A 21,915-nucleotide genomic window follows, 5' to 3' on the forward strand; every position below is an offset into this window, starting at 1 on the left:
CAAAAAAATTAGCCGGGCGTGGTGGCGGGCACCTGTAGTCCCAGCTACTCGGGAGGCTGAGGCAGGAGAATGGCGTGAACCCAGGAGGCAGAGCTTGCAGTGAGCTGAGATCACACCACTGCACTCCAGCCTGGGCAACAGAGCAAGACTCCGTCTCAAAAAAAAAAAAAAAAAAAAAAAAAAAGGTTAATACCTGGGTCCAATATCCGGAATCTGGGGAGGGACCTAGGCATTGCTTTTTATATTGCCGAGGCTGGTCTCAAACTCCTGGCCTCAAATAATCCTCCCGCCTTCACCCCCACAAAGTGCTGGGATTACAGGTGTGAGCCACCATGCCTGGCCACAATTTCTTTTTATAACTTGTAAAGTTACAAGTTTGAAAAAACAAATAAGATGATGCAAAACAAAATTAAAATGAATTCAAACATTTTATCAAAGGCCTATCTCATTCTGCTTAGCCCTATCTTAGGATTCTCCACAAAATTCAGCTAAGAAGACTTCAGTTTTACCTCTTCCAAGGTACTCCCTGCTTCAGCAGAAGTACGTAGAAAACAGTAAAAGGTGCTAGAATGGGGCTATGGATGCAACTGGTAGGGAATTAGAGGTGGAGAAGGGCAACAGGTTGATCTTCTAAGTTATTATGGATAAAAGTGGAAGATTTAACACAAACATGGACTTTTTCTCCCTCCAAAACCCCATTCAAATGGCAGTAAAAGAACTTTTTTTTTTTTTTTTTTTTTTGAGACGAGGTTTTACTCTTGTTGCCCTGGCTGGAATGCAATGACATGATCTCGGCTCAGCACAACCTCCGCCTCCCAGGTTCAAGTGATTCTCCTGCCTCAGCCTCCCAAGCAGCTGGGATTACAGGCATGTGCCACCACGCCCGGCTAATTTTTTGTATTTTTAGTAGAGACGGGGTTTCTCCATGTTAGTCAGGCTGGTCTTGAACTCCTGACCTCAGGTGATCCACCGGCCTCAGCCTCCCAAAGTGCTGAGATTACAGGCGTGAGCCACTGTGCCCAGCCAATAATTTTTTTTTTTTAATGGTGTTGTGGGCCAGGTGCAGTGGCTCACACCTGTAATCCTAGCACTTTGGGAAGCTGAGGCAAGAGGATTGCTTTAGCCTAGGAGTTTGAAACCAGCCTGGGCAATGTAGGGAGACCTGGTCTCTACAAAAAAAATTTAAAAATTAGCTAGGCATGGTGGCATGTACCTGTGGTCCCAGCTACTCCAAAGGCTGAGGTGGGAGGATCGCTTGAGCCTGGAAGATTGAGGCTGCAGTGAGCTGTGATTATGCCACTGCACTCCAGCCTGGGTGACAAAGGAGACCCTGTCTCAAAAACAAAAAACAAAAAATGGTGTGGTAGATTAAACATGTACACTGATTCTTTCCTCCTCCTTCTATCAAGAGGTTGAGTCCATTTCCCCTCCCACATGGACTCTGGGCTGGTCTGTGACTTGCCTTGACCCATGCAATGCATCAAAAGTGACACTGCGCCAGCTTCTGGTCTGGGCTGCAAGAGGCCTCTGGGATCCGTGCACCATGTAGTGAAGCTCAGGAAGGATTATTGAATGATGAGCAACCACGTGGAGAAAGACCCCGCCGGCCCCCAGCCATGCTGGACATGTGAGTGGAACCATTCTTGGATATTCCAGTGCCAGCCTATCTCCCAGGCGAATGTAGTTGCATGAAGGACTCCAGCTGACACTGCATGGACTCCTGCCCAAATTGCAAAATCATCTGCAAATACATGGTTCTTGGTGTTTTAAGCTACTATGGTTTATAGTAGTTTATTCTGCAGCAATAGATAATACCCACATACCACAAATATCAGAAACAAACAGGCCGGGCGCAGCGACTCACGCCTATAATCCCAGTACTTTGGGAGGCCGAGGCAGTTGGATCACCTGAAGTCAGGAGTTCAAGACCAGCCTGGCCAACATTGCGAACGCCGTCTCTACTAAGAATATGAAAATTATCTGGGCATGGTGCCGAATGCCTGTAGTCCTAGCTACTCAGGAGGCTGAGGCAAGATAATCGCTTGAACCCAGGAGGCAGAGGTTGCAGTGAGCCAAAATCGTGCCACTGCACTCCAGCCTGGGTGACAGAGAGAGATTCCATCTTAAAACAAAAACAAAAAAAGAAACAAACAAAAATCCAAAATACCTTATCACTAATATCCTCAGAGAAACAAGGTCAAATATCGCAAGCATGAAACACAAACAGATTACTAATAAAACAAATATACACAGGCTGGACATGGTGGCCCATGTCTATATTCCCAGCTACTCAGGAGGGTGAGGTAGGAAGGTCACTTGAGTCTAGCAGTTCAAGGCCAGCATGGGCAACATAGCAAGACCCCACCAGTGAAAAAAATATGATAGGAGGAATAATAGCTCAATAGGACTAGAGGAGAAAGTTGAGAAAATCTACTAGAAAACAGAACAAAAGGCAAAATGATGGGAAATTGGAAATAAAATAAAATGGAGAATAAATGAAATCGAGAATGGGAACTGGAGAGCCAGTTTGGGAGACCCAACATCTAAAGTATAAGTTCAAAAAAGAGACACTGAAAAAATAAAGAGAAGGAAATAATCGATGAAATAATTCAAGACATCTTCCCAACACTGAGGGTCATGAATTTCAAGACTGAAAGGACCTACTGAGAGCACTGCACAATTAATAAAAATTGACTACACCTTGGCACATCATTGTGAAATTATGGAAGCTGGGCCAGGGAGAGGCTCCTAAAAGCTTCTGGAGAAAATGTCATGTCATATGAAAATAATCAGGAATGCAAATAGCTCTAGGCTTCTTTATAGCAACACTGCTACCATTGGAGCAGTGCTTTCAAAATTCCGAACCAAAAAAAAAAAAAAATTGATTTCAGAGCTACTATTTAAGTGTATAGATAGATTATAGGCATTTCCAGACATGCAAAGTCTTAAAAACTTCTCCTCCCTCCCACATACCCTTTCTTGCTTAGCCCAAGAAATAAGCCAGGAAATAACAAAACATGAGATCCGGGAAACAAATCTCCAGCACAGCAGAGAGGTAAAAGGAAGACAAAGGATGGTGGTGAAGCAAGAGCTCAGGAGGACCAGGAAAGAAGCCAACAGGACACACTGGAGAGACTCCTTCACACAGTGGAACCGACTGGGAAATGGATGTGTCTGAACTGATAGAGAGGCAATCTGAACAAGTGGTGAAGTTTCGGATTAAACTAATGAAAAATATATAGAAAACCAGACCAATAATATAATCATTATTATATAGAGAAACAACAAAAGGTTTTGTATGGAAGAAAAAAATAATTACAGTATACTATAAATGTCCCCTATGAATAGCATATCCATAACAAAAATCACGTAAACACTGAGTGTCGTTTGCTCGGTCCTAATAAAACTGTACTAGAAGGATGGGGGTGAGAAACGTTTGCAAATGGGAGCAAGACTAGGAAAGAAAATGAAATCCTATCTTCCAGGCCAGGCACGGTGGCTCACGCCTGTAATCCCAGCACTTTGGGAGGCCGAGGCGGGCAGATCACAAGGTCAGGAGTTCGAGACCAGCCTGACCAACATGGTGAAACCCTGTCTCTACTAAAAATACAAAAATTAGCCGGGCGTGGTGGCGCATGCCTGTTATCCCAGCTACTCAGGAGGCTGAGGCTGGAAAATCACTTGAACCTAGGAGGCGGAGGTTGCGGTGAGCCAAGATCATGCCATTGCACTCCAGCCTGGGTAACAAGAGCGAAACTCCGTCTCAAAAAAAAAAAAAAAAAATCCTATCTTCCACAGGGGGAAGCCAATATTTGCCTAAAGCTGAAAAATCATTAAATAAACAATCATGCATGCTATTTTGAGATGCAGTGGTTTAGATTATCAAAGAAAGTAGTGAAAGTTATTGTCTTTCATGAGAGGGAAAGGACAGAAGTGGAGCAGGAAGCAGTTGTTGGTGAGAGATTTGTAGAACTATTTGACTCTTTAAATCATATGCATCTACAGCTTTGATGAGAATATTCGAATTTAAAAGAAAGTAAAAGAGAAGACAGGAAAGAGGAAGGAAGGGAGGGAGGGAGGGAGGGAAACAAAGGCCCGGTGCAGTGGCTCACGCCTGTAATCCCAGCACTTTAGGAGGCTGAGGCAGGTGGACCACCTGAGGTCAGGAGTTTGAGACCAGCCTGGCCAATGTGGCAAAACCTCATCTCTACTAAAAATACAAAAAAATTAGCCGAGCGTGGTGATGGGCACCTGTAATCCCAGCTACTCAGGAGGCTGAGGCAGGAGAATGGCTTGAACCCAGGAGGCAGAGGTTGCAGTGAGCCGAGTTGGTGCCATTGCACTCCAGCCTGGGCAACGGAGCAAGACTCCATCTCAAAAAAAAAAGAAGGCAAGCAGGAGCCAAATCATTCAGGGGCTCAAAGATGGGGTGCACATGACTTAATGGACATTTTAAAATCTCAAGTAAACCCCTTTCCCAGTCAGGGCTCAGATTTCTTCATCTATATCTTGAGGGGTTGGGTGACAACTCCTGTTCAACCTGTCTGAGATCATCATGAGCTGTAGGACAGAATGTAATAAAATATTTACATGATCAAGGGCGATGGTTCTTTTTTTTTTTAACCTTTTAAGTAGGAAGGGTAATGTGCTGTAACAAGATTTGAGACAAGCATGTCTCATATATAAGCATAAAAACCCAATCATCATGCTTACCAAGTACAAAAGGATCAAGGGCAGTGGTTCTAAAGAAGAATCACCCTACTGTAAAATGTAGATTCCCTGGCTAATCTTCTGGGGAGTCTGCCTCCTTGGTGTGAGGCAGGGATGGGGAACTGGCATTTTTTTTTTCTTTTGAGACAGAGTCTCACACTGCTCATTCTGCTGCCCAGGCTGGAGTGCAGTGGCATGATCTCGGCTCACTGGAATCTCTGCGTCCTGGGTTCAAGCGATTCTCCTGCCTCAGTCTCCTGAGTAGCTGGGACCATGGGCACCCACCAACAGGCCCAGCTAATTTTTGTATTTTTAGTAAAGATGGTGTTTTGCCATGTTGGCCAGGCTGGTCTCAAACCCCTGACCTCAAGTGATCCACCCACCTCTGCCTCCCAAAGTGCTGGGATTATAGGCAGGAGTCACATCCAACCCGGAACTGACATTTTTAATAAGCATTCAAAGACATCTGATGCCAGCCATCTGCTTGCCACACGTTGAGCAACGCTACTCCAGGACAAGTCCTTGGAGGTGCAAGATCACAGGTTTAATTGAGATAAAACGGCAAATCAATTCCCCTTTTCAGGGAGAAAGTGTCAATTTGGTATTGATATGTTTTTAGCACCCCTTTAGCGTTAGATAATCTCCTGGAACAGGGAGCTGGCCACAGGCAAAAGAATCTACCTGGAATTGAATTACACTGTTTGGTTTTCATTGCATTCTCCTTTATTCTTACCTTCTATTATGGGAAATGAAACGAATTTTCGATTTACAATAGTGACACAAAGTTTCCTTTAAAATAGATTCACTGAAATTTCTAAGTATCCAAGGATGTATTTTAGGATGAAGAGACAATAAAGCATTTTCACTTTTTCCTAGACTCACTAGATTTTGGCACATGGATACTTGCAATATTGATTTGTATTATGAGAGTGATCTAATTATTACAAAAGGAGCTATAATCACTAACTTATTCTTAATAATAATGGTTACTGGTACCTTTACAATAATGTACAATCCAATGTTTAAAAATGATACCACTTGAGTTTGGTTTGATCCTATAAACTTTCAACAAATGTCTTGGGAGGCCAAGGCAGGCGGATCACAAGGTCAGAGATGGAGACCATCCTGGCTAACACGGTGAAACCCTGTCTCTACTAAAAGTACAAAAAATTAGCCAGGCGTGGTGGTGGGAGCCTGTAGTCCCAGCTACTCAGGAGGCTGAGGCAGGAGAACGGCGTGAACCCGGGAGGCGGAGCTTGCAGTGAGCCAAGATTGCGCCACTGCACTCCAGCCTGGGCGACAGAGCGAGACTCCATCTCAAAAAAAAGAAAAAAGAAAAAAAATTTTTTTTTCAACAAATGTCTTAAAATTTAAAAGCAGGCTGATTAGTTTGGAACCAGACTACAAGTAGAGCTAACATTTGGTGAATAAGAAAACATCACACTACATTTTGGATGTATGAAAGAAAACTTGACCATGTGAAGATATATGAATAAAGAAATGTACTATAGATACTACTTTAGGAAAAAAAAGAGTGATCTATAAATAAAAACATTTGACGTATTTGAAAACGTGTGGGTCTTGCATACGACTCACATGATAAATCTAAAATTCAACCTAGCAATGGATAAGAATTAAGAACGGATGGTTTGGGCAAAGGACATTAACAGACATTGCTCCAAAGGTGATACATAAATGGCCAACAAGCAAATGGAAAGATGCTTAACATTACCGATTATTAGGGAAATGCAGATCAAAACCACAATGAGATACCAGTTCAGGCCCATTAAAATGGCTATTATCAAATAAACAGAAAATAACAAGCATTGGTGGACAAACTGGAACCCTCCTCCTGCATTGCTGGTGGGAATGTAAAATGTTGCGTCCATTGTGGAAAATAGTATGGCGGTTCCTCAAAAAATTAAATATACAGGCTGGGCACAGTGGCTCACGTCTGTAATCCCAGCACTTTGGGAGGCCGAGGTGGGTGGATCGCCTGAGGTCAGGAGTTCAAGATCAGCCTGGTCAATGTGGTGAAACCCCATCTCTATTAAAAATACAAAAATTAGCTGGGCATGGTGGCAGGCGCCTGTAATCCCAGCTACTTAGCAGGCTGAGGCAGGAGAATCGCTTAAACCCAGGAGGCGGAGGTTGCAGTGAGCACAGATTGCGCCACTGCACTCCAGCCTGGGCAACAGAGCGAGACTCGGTCTCAAAAAAAAAAAAAAAAAATTAAACATACTGTTACCATATGATCCAGCAATTCTACTACTAGGTATATATCCTAAAGAATTGAAAGTAAGAACTGGAGCGTGCAATATTGGTTTTCTGTTCCTGTGTTAGTTTGCTAAGGATAATGGCCTCCAGCTCTATCCATGTTCCCACAAAGGACATGATCTCATTCTTTTTTTTTTTTTTTTTGAGACGAAGTCTCGCTCTATCACCAGGGCTGGAGTGCAGTGGCACGATCTTGGCTCACTGCAACCTCCGCCTCCCGGGTTCAAGTGATTCTCCTGCCTCAGCCTCCTGAGTAGCTGGAATTGCAACCTCTGCCTCCCGGGTTCAAATGATTCTCCTGCCTCAGCCTCCTGAGTAGCCGGAATTACAGGCAGTCACCACCACACCCAGCTAATTTTTGTATTTTTAGTAGAGATGGGGTTTCACCATGTTGGTCAGGCTGGTCTCGAACTCCTGACCTCGTGATCTGCCTGCCTCAGCCTCCCAAAGTTCTGAGATTACAGGTGTGAGACACCATGCCTGACCATGATCTCATTCTTTTTCATGGCTGTATAGTATTCCATGGTATATATGGAATATACATGATAAGTCACTCTCACTTCAGTTGGCTTTCATGAAACACTGTGACAGGCACAAGAGGACAAAGTGTCTGCCGGCATCGTTCTCCTCCTACCTCATTGACTGAACTTTGCTGCTTCCACTCCTTTGCATGACTTCCAAATATCAGAGGACCTTAGGGCACAGCTTGTGCCTCTTCTCTTCTCTACTTATAGGATATTCTCTGCCTAGTGATCTCCACCAGCCTGTGGTATAGATGTACCTGTGTGCTTGTGACTCAAAGATGCACACCTGCAGTCCTGAGCTCTATGCCCAGACGTGGGTTCTCCACTTGGATGTCTAATGGCCATCTCAAACTTAGCATCTCCAGACCGAAAACCCCAAATCTGTTATGTTATTCCCCCAAAGCCCAAATCCATAACTTCCCCTTGGCATCTCTCCCCCAAATCCCTCCCTCACTGCACTCTTGCCTTTCCCTCCTCCAACAAGCCAAGCTTTTCCTAACCACAGGGCCTCTTCAGGAACAGTTTCCTCTGCACAAAACTCTGTTCCCCAGACAGATCCTTTCACCTCCTCTGAGGCTCTGAACGCCTCCCTTCCCACCTCTGCTTCTCACTCCTTCACATTAGTCTGTTTCATTTCCTTCATTGCACTTATTATCATCTGAAATTATGTGTTGGTTTACTTATTTTCTCTCACACTTGATTTTTTTTTTTTAGACCGAGATTTGCTCTGTCGCCCATGCTGGAGTGCAATGGCACAACTTCACCTCACTGAAACCTCCGCCTTCCGGGTTCAAGCTATTCTCCTGCCTCAGCCTCCTGAGTAGCTGGGACTACAGGCGCCCGCCACCACGCTTGGCTAATTTTTTTGTATTTTTAGTAGAGATGGGGTTTCACCATGTTGGCCAGCAACTGTGCCTGGCCTCACACTTGATTTTTAATCTCCATGAGAGCAAGCACTAGGTCTTGCCTGGGCCTTTATCAATAGCAGTGAGCATAGCACCTGGCACAGAGGTAGTTCTGAACATTAATTATTGAATGAAATAAAATAATGAATGTAGGCTGGGCGCGGTGGCTCACGCCTGTAATCCCAGCACTTTGGGAGGCCGAGGCAGGCGGATCATGAGGTCAAGAGATCAAGATCATCCTGGCCTACATGGTGGAACCCCGTCTCTACTAAAATACAAAAATTAGCTGGGCATGGTGGCACTCGCCTGTTGTCTCAGCTACTGGGGAGGCTGAGGTAGGAGAATCACTTGAACCCAGGAGGAGGAGGTTCCAGTGAGCCGAGATCATGCTGCTGCACTCCAGCCTGGCGACAGAGCAAGCCTCTGTCTCAAAAATAAATAAATAAATAAATTTTAAAAATAATGAACGCAGGCCCAAGAAGAGTTGTGGGAAATGGGGTGATATTTTTGCATAGACTTCTAAGGCTAAGAAGGAAAACAAACAGACGTGGTGGGCACAAATCTACCCCCACCCCAACTGGGTCCCAACTCTAGGCTCTCTGGCCTGGCACCACCACTGAAAGGCCCCGTTCCCCAAACCTCAGGGTATTCTTAGTCCCTCCTGTTCCCAGCGCTGCCAATCCCCCGCCCACCCCCACTTTAGTTGCGTGTTCCAGCCTCTCCGCCCCGCCCCTCCCCGCCCTGAAACGGACGTGCTTTTTAGAGGAGTCCACTGGGCTTGGAGTCAGTGGCAATAACCAGGGGCAATAACCAGGCGTGTCCCAGGGGGGAGCCCCGCTCTGCAGCCCTGTGCGCCGTAGAGAGCTGGACTTAGGCTGGCAGCATGGCCGAGTTCAGGGTCAGGGTGTCCACCGGAGAAGCCTTCGGGGCTGGCACATGGGACAAAGTGTCTGTCAGCATCGTGGGGACCCGGGGAGAGAGCCCCCCACTGCCCCTGGACAATCTCGGCAAGGAGTTCACTGCGGGCGCTGTGAGTGCGTGGGAGTGGATGGGGTGGAGGTGAAGGGGGCGAGCAGGAGGGTCCGGCCTGACGCATACTTAACCTCCCCTCAGGAGGAGGACTTCCAGGTGACGCTCCCGGAGGACGTAGGCCGAGTGCTGCTGCTGCGCGTGCACAAGGCGCCCCCAGTGCTGCCCCTGCTGGGGCCCCTGGCCCCGGATGCCTGGTTCTGCCGCTGGTTCCAGCTGACACCGCCGCGGGGCGGCCACCTCCTCTTCCCCTGCTACCAGTGGCTGGAGGGGGCGGGGACCCTGGTGCTGCAGGAGGGTACAGGTGAGGGGCGGGCCGGGCTGGGGCTGCAGGGGGAGCACAGGAAGGGGTAGGGGACTGGGGGTTGGGGAGAAGGGCAGGTGAAATGGAGAGGTGAGCTGGTGTGGCCACAGAGTAGCGGGCAGAGGAGAGGGAATGGCGGAGCCTTGGGGAGCGGGAGGTAGCAGCCTGGTGTAGGAGAAACTGTACTTATGGGAGGAGGGGACCTGGTAGAGGGTGGCAATCGTGGAGACTGTGTGGCTGGTGGTAGTGATGGTGAGTTTCTCTCCCCACCCCAACCTACTCCCCTTCTCCCACAGCCAAGGTGTCCTGGGCAGACCACCACCCTGTGCTCCAGCAACAGCGCCAGGAGGAGCTTCAGGCCCGGCAGGAGATGTACCAGTGAGGAGGGGGTTACTGATGGGGGAGGGTGTGCCCAAACGATGAGGGGCAGCTTGAGTGTCCTGGTCATGACAGAGATTAAAAGCCCCTGCCTCCACCTCTCCTATCAAAGCTGCTCCTGGGATCAGCAGCGTCTACAGGAACGTATTAGAAATGCAAATTCTCAGGCCACCTCCAACCTACTACGACACTGAGGGTGTAGAGTGGGAATTTTTGTTTTGACAAGCCTTCCAGATGACTCTGGTGGCCACTGATGTTTGAAAAACACTGCTCTAGGGCCAGGTGCCGTGGTGGCTCACACCTGTAATCTCAGCACTTTGGGAGGCTGAGGGAGGCGGATCACTGGAGGTCGGGAGTTCGAGACCAGCCTGGCCAACAGGGCGAAACCCCATCTCTACTAAAAATACAAAAATCAGCTGGGTAGGGTGGCGGGCACCTGTATTCTCAGCTACATGGGAGGCTGAGGCAGAAGAATAGCTTGAACCCGGGTGGTGGAGGTTGCAGTGAGCCGATCACGCCATTGCACTCCAGCATGGGGGACAGAGCAAAACTCCATCTCAAAAAAAGAAAAAAAAAAAGGAAGGAAGGAAAAGGAAGGAAAGAGAGAAAGAAAGAGAGAGAAAGAAAGAAAGAAAGAAAGAAAGAAAGAAAGAAAGAAAGAAAGAAAGAAAAGAAAGAGAAAGAAACTGCTTTAAATGCCTTACCTTTGCTGGTGTCTTCCTTGCCCTGGGACTTTTTCATGCATCGGCTTGTTGTGTCCTCCCAGAAATCTGAGTAGAGCCAGAAACACGCCCTTCAAGCCCCAGGAAACTCACCCTCCAGGGCTAGCAAGGGGTGAGATGGGGGCTCTCTCTGTGCTCTGGGCTCAGCATTGGAGATCACAGGGGAAAACTGGGACTTGGAGATAACAGAGGAGTTGGGGCCGCTAGTGAGGATTCCCTTGGCACAAAGCCAGGAACTGCATTCAGAAACAGATTTTCAAAAGATCTTGATCCGGCCAACTCATCTGCTATCTAAAGCCTGGGCTGCAGGCTTTTGCTCCTGGTCTGTGGGATCAGAGCAGCCACAGGCTCATTTGGTTCCTGGTGATTCTCCATGTGTCATGAATTCCACCCCTAAGGAAACCATTGCACCAAATCTGGCAGCAACAGCCCCAAGAGAGGGAATAGACATTGAGATCTACTGTGTCCATGGAGACCCAGAGTCAGCCTAGGCCCTGCCAAAACGAGCTGTGAGATCTTAGACCAATTTTTTCATCTCTTCAATTCTTATTTTCTTCTGTAAAAGAAACTAAGAATACCAATCTCGTTTGGGTTAGGAGGAACAAATGAGAAAATGGTTAAGAATGTAGGTGGTCAGCTGCTAAGTCTTGCACAACTGTGTGCTCTTGCTGTTGTTCCTGTCTTTCAGTTCACTCTGTTCCAACACTCTAGGCTCTTATAAAACGTACAGTGAGGTCTCAGATCCATTGCAACAGCATTGCCTGGGAGCTTGTTAGAAATCAGAATCTGCATTTAACCAAGATCTCTATGTGAGAGGGATTCAAGTCTGAGAGGAAGGGTTTGGCCACCACCTGGTGGCAGTGTACTTTAATTGCAAATTTTTCTTTGAAGTTGAAAGCTCAAACCCAAAAGCAAGTTTTGAATGAATCAAAGAATGAATGAGTGAGAGCATGACTGGCTAGGGGTCATCAAGTTTGCAGATACATGAATTTACCATTTCCCTGGAAGGTCTTTGGCTGTGTTGCTTGTTTGAGAATAGAATTTAGAGATGCCTCGGGCGGCTCCCCCTAAACTATGAAGGCTGAAGTGCCTCTCTATGGGACACCTACCAAAGGCAACTGAAACCTTCTGCGCAGCCCCTGTCCCAGGATAGTCTCGCCTCTACAAGATGCGTCTGTGTTAGTCGGGACTTCTATAGTTGCAAGAACAAAAGCTAACTCCAACTAGCAGGCAGAAAAAAAGTTTGTCGGCCAGACACAGAGGCACTTACAGAAACACAGGCAGGAATTGTCCACCCAGTGGAAAATGGCCATAACTAACAGTCTGTGTTTACTGCTATAATCTACATATCCAGAGAGAGACCACCTCTCTGGCTCAGCCCCAATGGCAAATTCCCTGGAAAGGACTCTGATTGGCCCAGCTCTAGTCAGGTGCTCAACTCTGGACCAATCACCCTTGACCAGGGGAGCCATCTCACTGTGGGAAAATGGCAGCTCCCTTGCAGCCTCCTTGGGTAGAATGGAAGGGCAGCTCCCAGGAGGGCCCTCTTGGCTGAAGGGGTCTGGCTGTGACCAGGCCCCCCAAGGGGACTGCCACTCCATCTGCCCTAGCAAAGAGTCTCCCTGAGGCCTCTTGCTGACCACCTTCCCTCTCTACCCTCCAGGTGGAAGGCTTACAACCCAGGTTGGCCTCACTGCCTGGATGAAAAGACAGTGGAAGACTTGGAGCTCAATATCAAATACTCCACAGCCAAGAATGCCAACTTTTATCTACAGGCTGGCTCTGCGTGAGGATGCCCACCCTTCCCTGCCCCTGGGCCTCAGATGCCCTATGACCTCTGCCTTCTGCCCTCCCCTAGTCAGTTCCCCCACCCTCAGTGATATGAGTCACATAGTCCTGCCCAGGAAACAGCCTCCTTCCCACTACCAATCCCACAGAGCAACAGCTACCTTAGGGGTAGTGACTACCTTGGGCCCGGAGGCTGGTTCAGGATCCCAAGAGGCATAAGGCTGGCTGACAGGGAAGGGTCTCCCAGGGCCTCCTCCCCACTCCCCACCCCTCACATCCCCTGGCAGTTTTGCAGAGATGAAAATCAAGGGGTTGCTGGACCGCAAGGGGCTCTGGAGGAGTCTGAATGAGATGAAAAGGATCTTCAACTTCCGGAGGACCCCAGCAGCTGGTGAGGAGCTTGGGCCAGGGATCCTGACCTCTTTCCTGGGGCATCAGCTCCTGTGGCTGCCCAGAGTCTCAGAAAACCAAGCACCAATTTGCTATGTAACCCTGATCAGGTCCTTGCTAGACCTTACTTTTCCCCACAGAGACAAAAGAGAATATGGACGGAGGGGATCCCTGACCTTCTAACGCCTTCTAATACAACAGACATTTGTTGAGCTGCTACATATCAGACACCGGGTTAGGGGCTACATGGTTCTTCACGGGGCTCACAGTTGAGCAGGCCAGTTGGTGTTAATTAGACTCAAAATCAAATAATTCATTTCACTGTGAAACATGCTCATTGGATCCAGTGAGGGTGTAAAGGGGGCACCTGCCATACCCTGGAGAGGGCCCCAGGAAAGCTCTCCCAAGGGGGTGAACTATGCTGAGACCTCAAAGTTCAGTAGGCCTTAGCAGTGCCAAGGATGGGCCGTGGGGGCAGAGAGCAGTTCGGGGAACAGTGAGTGTGAAGGCCCTGAAGACAGAAGGATCAGCCACCTTTGGAGGAAAGAAAACACCACTGTGGTCAAAGTGTAATGAACAAGAGAAGGAGAGCGAGAGAAGGAGCAGGAAGGTGCACGGGGGTCGCACAGGACTTTGTCGGCCATGGCAGGACTTGCGTCTTTCCTCAGCCCAGTGCTTGACTGGTTGCCAGCAGGGGAATAATGTGGTCACTGTGCACTGCTGGGGGGCAAGAGACTATGAGAATCTGCTATGAGGCTCTGGCTGTGGTCACCAGAGGATGGTGGCCTCAGCAAGGCAGTGGCAATGCAATGGAGAGGATGGGTGGACCGAGAGGTACTCAGGATGGAGAATCAATGGGATTTGATATGTGAGGGGTACTGCCAAGAGAGGTCCCCAGGCTCCGGCTGGGCGCAGTGGCTCACACCTGTAATCCCAGCACTTTGGAAGGCCAAGGTAGGTAGATTGCATGAGGTCAGGAGTTTGAGACCAGGCTGGCCAACATGGCAAAATCCCGTCTCTACTAAAAATACAAAACTTAGCCAGGTGTGGTGGCATGGGCCTGTAGTCCCAGCTACTCAGGAGGCTGAGGCCTGAGAATTGCTTAAGCCTGGGAGATGGAGGTTGCCCTGAGCCAAGATAGCCCCACTGCATTCCAGCCCGGGCAAGAGAGTCAGACCCTGTAAAGAGAGAAAGAGGTGGGGAGTGGGGGAGAGAGAGAGAGAGGAAGGAAGGAAGGAAGGAAGGAAGGAAGGAAGGAAGGAAGGAAGGAAAGAAAGAAAAGGAAAAAGGAAAAGGCGGAAGCTGAGGCAGACAGATCACTTGAGCCCAGGAGTTCGACACCAGTCTGAGCAACATGGAGAAACCCTGTCTCTACCAAAAAGACAAAAATTAGCCAGGCATGCTGGTGTGTGCCTGTAATCCCAGCTACTTGGGAGGCTGAGGCAGGAGGATCGGTTGAACCCAGGAGGCAGAGGTTGCAGTGAGCCGAGGTCACGCCACTGGACTCCAGCCTGGGCAACACAGCGACACAGCCTGTCTCAAAAAAAAAAAAAAAAAAGGAAAGAAAAAGAAAGGGTCCCGAGTCTCCTCTGTAGGCAACTGGGTGGGGGATGGAGCTGCCACTTCCCAAATATCAGGCAATGGGACTGACCTGAGCTGTAGGAATAATCTGTATTTGGCCTGCAACGTGTTGCATTTGAGGCTAGTGAGTTATTCAGGGGGAGTGTCAGGCAGACACTGGGATGCATGGGCTGGGGACTATGATTTGCTGCTGGGTGAAGAGGCAGTGACTGAAGACAAGGGGCAGGGGAGGTAACTCTGAGGACACACTGTGAAGATTAGCCAGAGGCCTGTGGGAGCTGGGGTAACCCCGTCCCCGTGTCCCCCACCCCCTGCAAAGCACGCATTTGAGTGACCCCGTTCCCCTGTCCCCCACCCCCTGCAGAGCACGCATTTGAGCACTGGCAGGAGGACGCCTTCTTCGCCTCCCAGTTCCTGAATGGTCTCAACCCTGTCCTGATCCGCCGCTGTCACTACCTCCCAAAGAACTTCCCCGTCACTGATGCCATGGTGGCCTCAGTGTTGGGTCCTGGGACCAGCTTGCAGGCTGAGCTAGAGGTGAGGGGTGCAGGGATCTTGGCTCTGCACAGTCCCATCTCAGTGCCTTCACACCCGTCCCCTACTGGAGACAGAGGGGCACACTCACATTTGTTAGGGACCTACCGCGTGCTGCGTGCCAAGCACACTCTCCCGAAACACACTCCTCTCCCAGCCCTGAATCCTCTCCCTTCTACAACTGCACCCCCTTCATTTAGAAAACCAGGTGGCAGCCCCAGATCTCCTTTCTTCTGCAGAAGGGCTCCCTGTTCTTGGTGGATCACGGCATCCTCTCTGGCATCCAGACCAATGTCATTAATGGGAAGCCTCAGTTCTCTGCGGCCCCAATGACCCTGCTATACCAGAGCCCAGGCTGCGGGCCGCTGCTGCCTCTCGCCATCCAGGTATGCAGTCAGGCAGGGGCAGGGCAGCGTGAAGAAGAGTCAGGAGAATGGTTGGAAGACACTCATGGCTGCCTCTCTCCCCACCTGCCTCCCCCCAGCTCAGCCAGACCCCCGGCCCAAACAGCCCCATCTTCCTGCCCACTGATGACAAGTGGGACTGGTTGCTGGCCAAGACCTGGGTGCGCAATGCCGAGTTCTCCTTCCATGAGGCCCTCACGCACCTGCTGCACTCACATCTGCTGCCTGAGGTCTTCACCCTGGCTACCCTGCGTCAGCTGCCCCACTGCCACCCTCTCTTCAAGGTCAGTGGCTTGACAAGGTGGCCCAGCCTGTGCCCATGCCTCTGTGCCTCTTCTAAGCAGCCTTTCCTCACATGGCCCTATCCATGCAAGCTGGGATGCAGAGCCCCCGTCCGCTTCAGCAGCATCTCCTGGCACAACTCCCCTGGAAGCCTGCTATCCAGCAGGCCCTAAGTAACATAAATGCAGCACCCCAGAAAGGCTCTCGAAGGGAGATCAGGCAGCATCAACAGCCGTCATAGAAGCCCAAATCTTAGGAAGGGGAAGGACCTGGGGCTGGCAGGTGCCAAAGTTTGAACATGGCTTTGAGAGACCAACAAGTTCTCTGCAGATACTTCTGGGGTAGGGGAGGGCTGGGTGGGAGGCCCCCGTGCTCTAGGGTGGGTTCTGTAGGTTTCCTAGACCCTGCTAGCTTTCAGACGGCATGGATTCGAGGCATCTCCTCTGTGAAGGGCAGGATGGCCCCCTCCCAGGGTCCACCCACAGTCGCTGCTCAGATTCTCTGATCCTTCTAGACTTCTCCTGGGTCCCAGATGCGGGCCCTACTCTGTGCTCTTCTGTACTAGCTGGTTCTTTCTGACTATCTGCAGCTTCTGAGGCCTGGCGCTCAGAGGTGGGCTCTGGTGGACGGCTCCACATTGCCAGGCCCACAGGCCCTGGTTTTCCTAGTGCCTTCCCTGCCTAGGGGCTAGGAAATCACAGGATGCCAGAGCCGGAAGACACAGGGCTCAGCCACATCAGCACCCACATTTGACAAAACAACCTGAGGCTCAGGGAGAGGAAGGAGCACGCCTGAGCTCCCAGAACAAGCTGCTGGTGGAGCCCAGCAGGAACTCCAGGGCTCAGACCCCTGTCCCAGGCTGCCTCCTCTCATTCTTGTTGCCTCTTTCCAAGTGACTTGCAGGGCTGGTGCCTGTGTGGGGGAAGGTCTGGGGCCAGAACAACCCAGGCCTCCCCTAGCTCTGCCATTTTCCTGCCATGCAGCTGCTGATCCCGCACACCCGATACACCCTGCACATCAACACACTCGCCCGGGAGCTGCTTATCGTGCCAGGGCAGGTGGTGGACAGGGTGAGAGCTGTGTTGGGGAGGGAGTAGGCAGGCCACTCCTTCAATGTGACGAATTTGAGGTCCTGGGGTAGGAGTGGCCCATCTCCCCGACACCAGTGCTACCTCCTGCTTCTGGAGCAAGGTCTGTAGGACCCAAGAGTCCTGTCTCTCAGTCCACAGGCATCGGCATTGAAGGCTTCTCTGAGTTGATACAGAGGAACATGAAGCAGCTGAACTATTCTCTCCTGTGTCTGCCTGAGGATATCCGGACCCGAGGAGTTGAAGACATCCCAGGCTACTACTACCGTGATGATGGGATGCAGATCTGGGGTGCAGTGGAACGGTGAGGGGCCGTCCCTGGAGAGCCGAGGGCTGGTCGGGGACGTGGGAAGACAGGAAAGGAGACTGAGGCCCCAGGGAGGCTCACGTTGAGGAGGAGGGCCAGACATTCATGATGCTAAGCAGAGGCATTCCTCAGAGCGGGTCGGGGTTGGAGGCTGGACCTGAACCTGGATGCATTGCAGCTTTGTCTCTGAAATCATCGGTATCTACTACCCAAGTGATGAGTCTGTCCAAGATGACAGAGAGCTCCAGGCCTGGGTCAGAGAGATCTTCTCCAAGGGCTTCCTAAACCAGGAGAGCTCAGGTACAGGGACCTCAGCCCTCAGGCGCATTTGAGTGAGCCCATCCCCGTGTCCCCCACCCCCTGCAGAGCACGCATTTGAGTGGCCCCGTCCCCGTGTCCCCCACCCTCAAGGCTCACCCTCAAGCCTCCGCAGCAGGGTCCTCAGGTCCCTGGAAGCCCCATCCCAGCCCAGCTCTCCTTGCAGGTATACCCTCCTCACTGGAGACCCGGGAAGCCCTGGTGCAGTATGTCACCATGGTGATATTCACCTGCTCCGCCAAGCATGCGGCTGTCAGTGCAGGGCAGGTGAGGAAAGGCCAGCGCCCGAGGTGGCAGGCTGGAGGTGACCCAGCTCCTCAGCCTCATTCTGCCCTCTCGGCCTTCAGTTTGACTCCTGTGCTTGGATGCCCAACCTGCCACCCAGCATGCAGCTGCCACCACCCACCTCCAAAGGCCTGGCAACATGCGAGGGCTTCATAGCCACCCTCCCACCTGTCAATGCCACATGTGATGTCATCCTTGCTCTCTGGTTGCTGAGCAAGGAGCCTGGAGACCAAGTGAGTGTGGGGCTGGGGGCCAGGCTGGGCCAAATTGGGGTAAGAGAGGGTGTGATGTTTACCCTGCTGGCCCAGACCCAACCCTGCCATCAGGTAGCGGGTCCCTTTGCCCCACTGACCCTCCAGTGGGACACATGAGCCTTGGACATTTCACAGTGAAGGTCAAATGGCCAAATGCGATGATGCGGAGCCACTCTCAGTAGCAAGGGGAACGTGTAATTATGCTTCTTGGAAATTCCGAATTGAGCTTTCATTCCCCGAAAGCTTCCTGCAGATAAGCTTTACATGGATATCTGTTTAAGAGGAGGGACATGGATCAGGCCCCATCGAGGGCTACTTCAGGTCCCACACTTGGGGGCTAGGGCCAGAGCTGGCTAAGGCAAGTTGCAGCTGCTCAGATAGTGGGGACCAGGAGTCTGGGATGCAGGACCTCAGCAGCCGCCTCACCCAACCTTGTGGTGGATCCTCAGAGGCCCCTGGGCACCTATCCGGATGAGCACTTCACAGAGGAGGCCCCTCGGCGGAGCATCGCCACCTTCCAGAGCCGCCTGGCCCAGATCTCGAGGGGCATCCAGGAGCGGAACCAGGGCCTGGTGCTGCCCTACACCTACCTAGACCCTCCCCTCATCGAGAACAGCGTCTCCATCTAAATCCCAGGGGAACACAGGCCCAGATGACATCCCTTTGACCACATCGCTCTAGGATAACTGGCACCCAGAGAAAAGGACTCCTCAGAAAAAACAGGCCCCCATGTGCCTCTCCTGGGACAACCAGACTCTGTAACTCACCCCCACCACCATACACACACACAAAAACAGAAACAAAATCAAAACAGAGAAAGCAGAAAATCTACCAAGAACAGAGTCTCAGGACAGAACCACTGAGTCTTTTGGAGGCTCCAAGCCTCAAAGTGCCCGCAGAGCCCACCTTGAGGGTTTTGCTAGTTGGTTTTGTTTTGCGTTTTACAGCCGTGGGGGGAAGCACATAATCCCGCCCCAGGGCCCACTAGCATCCACTGATTGGACCTTATGGTCACCCAACTCAAGGACAGCCACCAAGAAGTGGCTGCCAAAGAGACTGGGCGCAGTGGCTCATGCCCATAATCCCAGCACTTTGGGAGATGGAGGCGGGAAAATCATTTGAGGTCAGAAGTTCAAGGCCAGCCTGGACGACATAGCGAGACTCCACCTCTACCAAAAAATAAAAATTAAAAAACAAATTGGGCCTGGTGGTATGTGGCTGTGGTCCTAACTACTCGAGAGGCTGAGGTGGGAGGACTGCTTGAGCCCAGGAGTTTGAGGCTGCAGTGAGCTATGATTGTGCCACGGCACTCCAGCCCAGGTAACCGAGCAAGACCCCGTTTCTATTAAAAAAAAAAAAAAAAAAAAACAAGGCCGGGCGTGGTGGCTCACACCTATAATCCCAGCACCTTGGAAGGTCAAGGTAGAGGGATCACCTGAGGTCAGGAGTTCAAGACCAGCCTGGCCAACGTGGTGAAACCCGGTCTCCACCCAAAATACAAAAAATAGCTAGGCGTGGTGGCACACATCTATAATCCCAGCAACTTGGAAGGCTGAGATAGGAGAATCACTTGAACCTGGGAGGCAGAGGTTGCAGTGAGCCCAGATCATGCCACCGCACTCCAGCCTGGGTGACAGAGTGAGACTCCGTCTCAGAAAAACAAAAATGAAAACAAAAAATACCCAAGAGGTTGATTGTGACCTACTGTCTCAGCTTTAAAGTGAACAAAACACTGAAAAAGGGTCACTGGGAGCCAGGCAGAATGAGAACACCCAGTCGGCACAGGCAGTGCCTATGTATACTTTCTTAAAAACATCCCCTAAAGTTAAAGACTTGTACGTTATAAGGCAGGTTCCGTTTCCAGAGAATCAGAAAACATTGTCATATCTCTAATCATACTTTGCTGCTAGATTTCATCATCACTGATGGATTTACATTTCATACACATTCTTTCATTCTGTTTTTCTTTTTTTTCTGGCTCATAGTCGGTGAGCATCCATTAAGGTAAAAAAGTGTCCTTTAAAAAAAAAAAAAAAACTCCCGTGGCGACACCTGGTAGACATCACCTTAATCAAATAATCCAGGTGAGTTCAGGCGTGGTGGCTCACACCTGTAATCCCAGCACTTTGGGAGGCCGAGGCGGGCGAATAACTTGAGGCCAGGTGTTAAAGACCAGCCTGGCCAACATGGCAAAACCCCATCTCTACTAAAAGTACAAAAACTAGCCGGGCTTGGTAGCAGGCGCCTGTAATCCCAGCTATTTAGGAGGCTGCGGCAGGAGAATCGCTTGAACCCAGGAGGCAGAGGTTGCAGTGAGCCGAGATCATGCTGCTGTATTCCAGCCTGAGTGACAGGGAGAGACTCTGTGTCAAAACAAAAAAAAAAAATCCAGGTGAACTTGCTGATACCATGTTGCTTTGCTCTAATGTTGTAAGAAGAGCACCTCATCTCTGTGGTTTCTTCTAGAAACTCATAACTACAGTCTAGTGATGAGAAAAATACAGACAAACCCAGATTGAGGGACATTCTGCAAAATACTTGACCAGCACTTTCCAAATTTTAAAATTGCCTTTGCTTTTTTGGTGTAAAAACAAAATGCATCCTTTACAATTCATCTAATGATTTCCATCACTACTACACATTGCAGGCATGAGTGCTTTTGTTTTTCAGTTTCACTGATTTTTATAAAACAATGTGGACAAAAATGCAATTTATATACTATAACTGCATAAACATTACCATTGGAAAAAAACAGAACAGTGCCTCAGAAAGGGTAGGGCTGACTGGCAAGTGGCATTTGACATGCTCATTCCTCGTTGAGAGTGAGTATACCGAAAGTGATTTAGAGATATATGTATCTGTCAAACTTCTTTCCATCAATTCCTGCTAACTTAAGCAATAAAGGAGTTAATGGAAAAGAAATGGAGTTCCTTGAGAAGTTAAAGAGCTGACTATGCAGGCCAGGCGCAGGGACTCAAGCCTGTGATCCCAGCACTGGAAGTCCAAGGCAGGAGGATTATTTGAGCCCAGGACTTCAAGACAGCTTGGGCAGTATAGTGAGACCCCATCTCTTCAAAAAAAATTAAAAAGTAGCAGAGCGTGGTCGCTCACGTCTATAGCCCTGGCTATTCGGGAGGCTGAGGAGGGAGGACTGCTTGATCCACGGAGGAAGAGGTTGCAGTGATCACACCACTGCATTCTAGTAATCCAGACTGGGCAACAGAGCGAGATCTTGTCTCAAAAAAAAAAAAGGCCGGGCGCGGTGGCCCACACCCATAATCCCAGCACTTTGGGAGGCCGAGGCGGGTGCATTACCTGAAGTCAGGAGTTCAAGACCAGCCTTACCAACATGGTGAAACCCCGTCTCTACTAAAACTACAAAAATTAGCTGGGCATGGTGGCAGGCGCCTGTAATCCCAGCTACTTGGGAGGCCGAGGCAGGAGAATCACTTGAACCCGGGAGGCAGAGGTTGCAGTGAGCCGAGATTGCACCACTGCACTCCAGCCTCGGCAACAGAGTGAGACCCCATCTCAAAAAAAAAAAAAAAAAAAGTTAATCATGCAGTTTCAGGAAAGAAACTGAAACCCAGGAAGCTCCAGGCATCTGGGGGACAAGGGACAAGAACTGATGGATGCTGTCCTCAGGCACTGCCATGGGAATAATGAAGCGCCTACCATTTTTCATCCTTGAGTTATTTGCCTCCATATTCAGTTCCGTGAGAGAGGCTGTTTGACGTAACACGGAGCAGCAGAGACCACTGGTTCCTGGAACAGAGAGAGTTTATGTTCACCCAATACCTCATGTACTTCCCAACATTTCCCAGCCTGCCTTAAA

The 21,915-nt window shown here is 49.9% G+C and overlaps 1 protein-coding gene and 1 pseudogene across 3 annotated transcripts; one reads left to right on the forward strand and one right to left on the reverse strand.

The window, feature by feature from the left end:
- Positions 4,631-4,728, reverse strand: LOC124904131 (uncharacterized; annotated as a pseudogene).
- Positions 9,203-19,278, forward strand: ALOX15B (arachidonate 15-lipoxygenase type B). Of its 3 annotated transcripts, NM_001141.3 has the most exons (14): positions 9,203-9,446; positions 9,530-9,749; positions 10,046-10,127; positions 12,513-12,635; positions 12,925-13,028; positions 14,973-15,145; positions 15,382-15,528; positions 15,627-15,830; positions 16,812-16,898; positions 17,051-17,220; positions 17,402-17,523; positions 17,708-17,808; positions 17,889-18,059; positions 18,530-19,278. In NM_001141.3, exons 1-14 carry the CDS (start codon positions 9,300-9,302, stop codon positions 18,707-18,709), a joined length of 2,031 nt encoding a protein of 676 aa, NP_001132.2. In that variant the 5' UTR covers positions 9,203-9,299; the 3' UTR covers positions 18,710-19,278. The 3 variants fall into 3 exon arrangements, with proteins under 3 accessions (NP_001132.2, NP_001034219.1, NP_001034220.1); NM_001039130.2 differs by lacking the exon at positions 16,812-16,898; NM_001039131.2 differs by lacking the exons at positions 16,812-16,898; positions 17,402-17,523 and having other exon boundaries at positions 17,051-17,207.

Source organism: Homo sapiens, chromosome 17 (assembly GCF_000001405.40).
Source record: "Homo sapiens chromosome 17, GRCh38.p14 Primary Assembly".
Taxonomy (NCBI): Eukaryota; Metazoa; Chordata; class Mammalia; order Primates; family Hominidae; genus Homo; species Homo sapiens.

Coding starts and splice junctions, on each gene's coding strand:
- ALOX15B (NM_001141.3), top strand. CDS start 9,300: ATGGCCGAGTTCAGGGTCAGGGTGTCCACCGGAGAAGCCTTCGGGGCT. Junction 13,029..14,972: donor CCGGAGGACCCCAGCAGCTG/GTGAGGAGCTTG, acceptor CACCCCCTGCAG/AGCACGCATTTGAGCACTGG. Junction 17,524..17,707: donor CCTAAACCAGGAGAGCTCAG/GTACAGGGACCT, acceptor CTCTCCTTGCAG/GTATACCCTCCTCACTGGAG.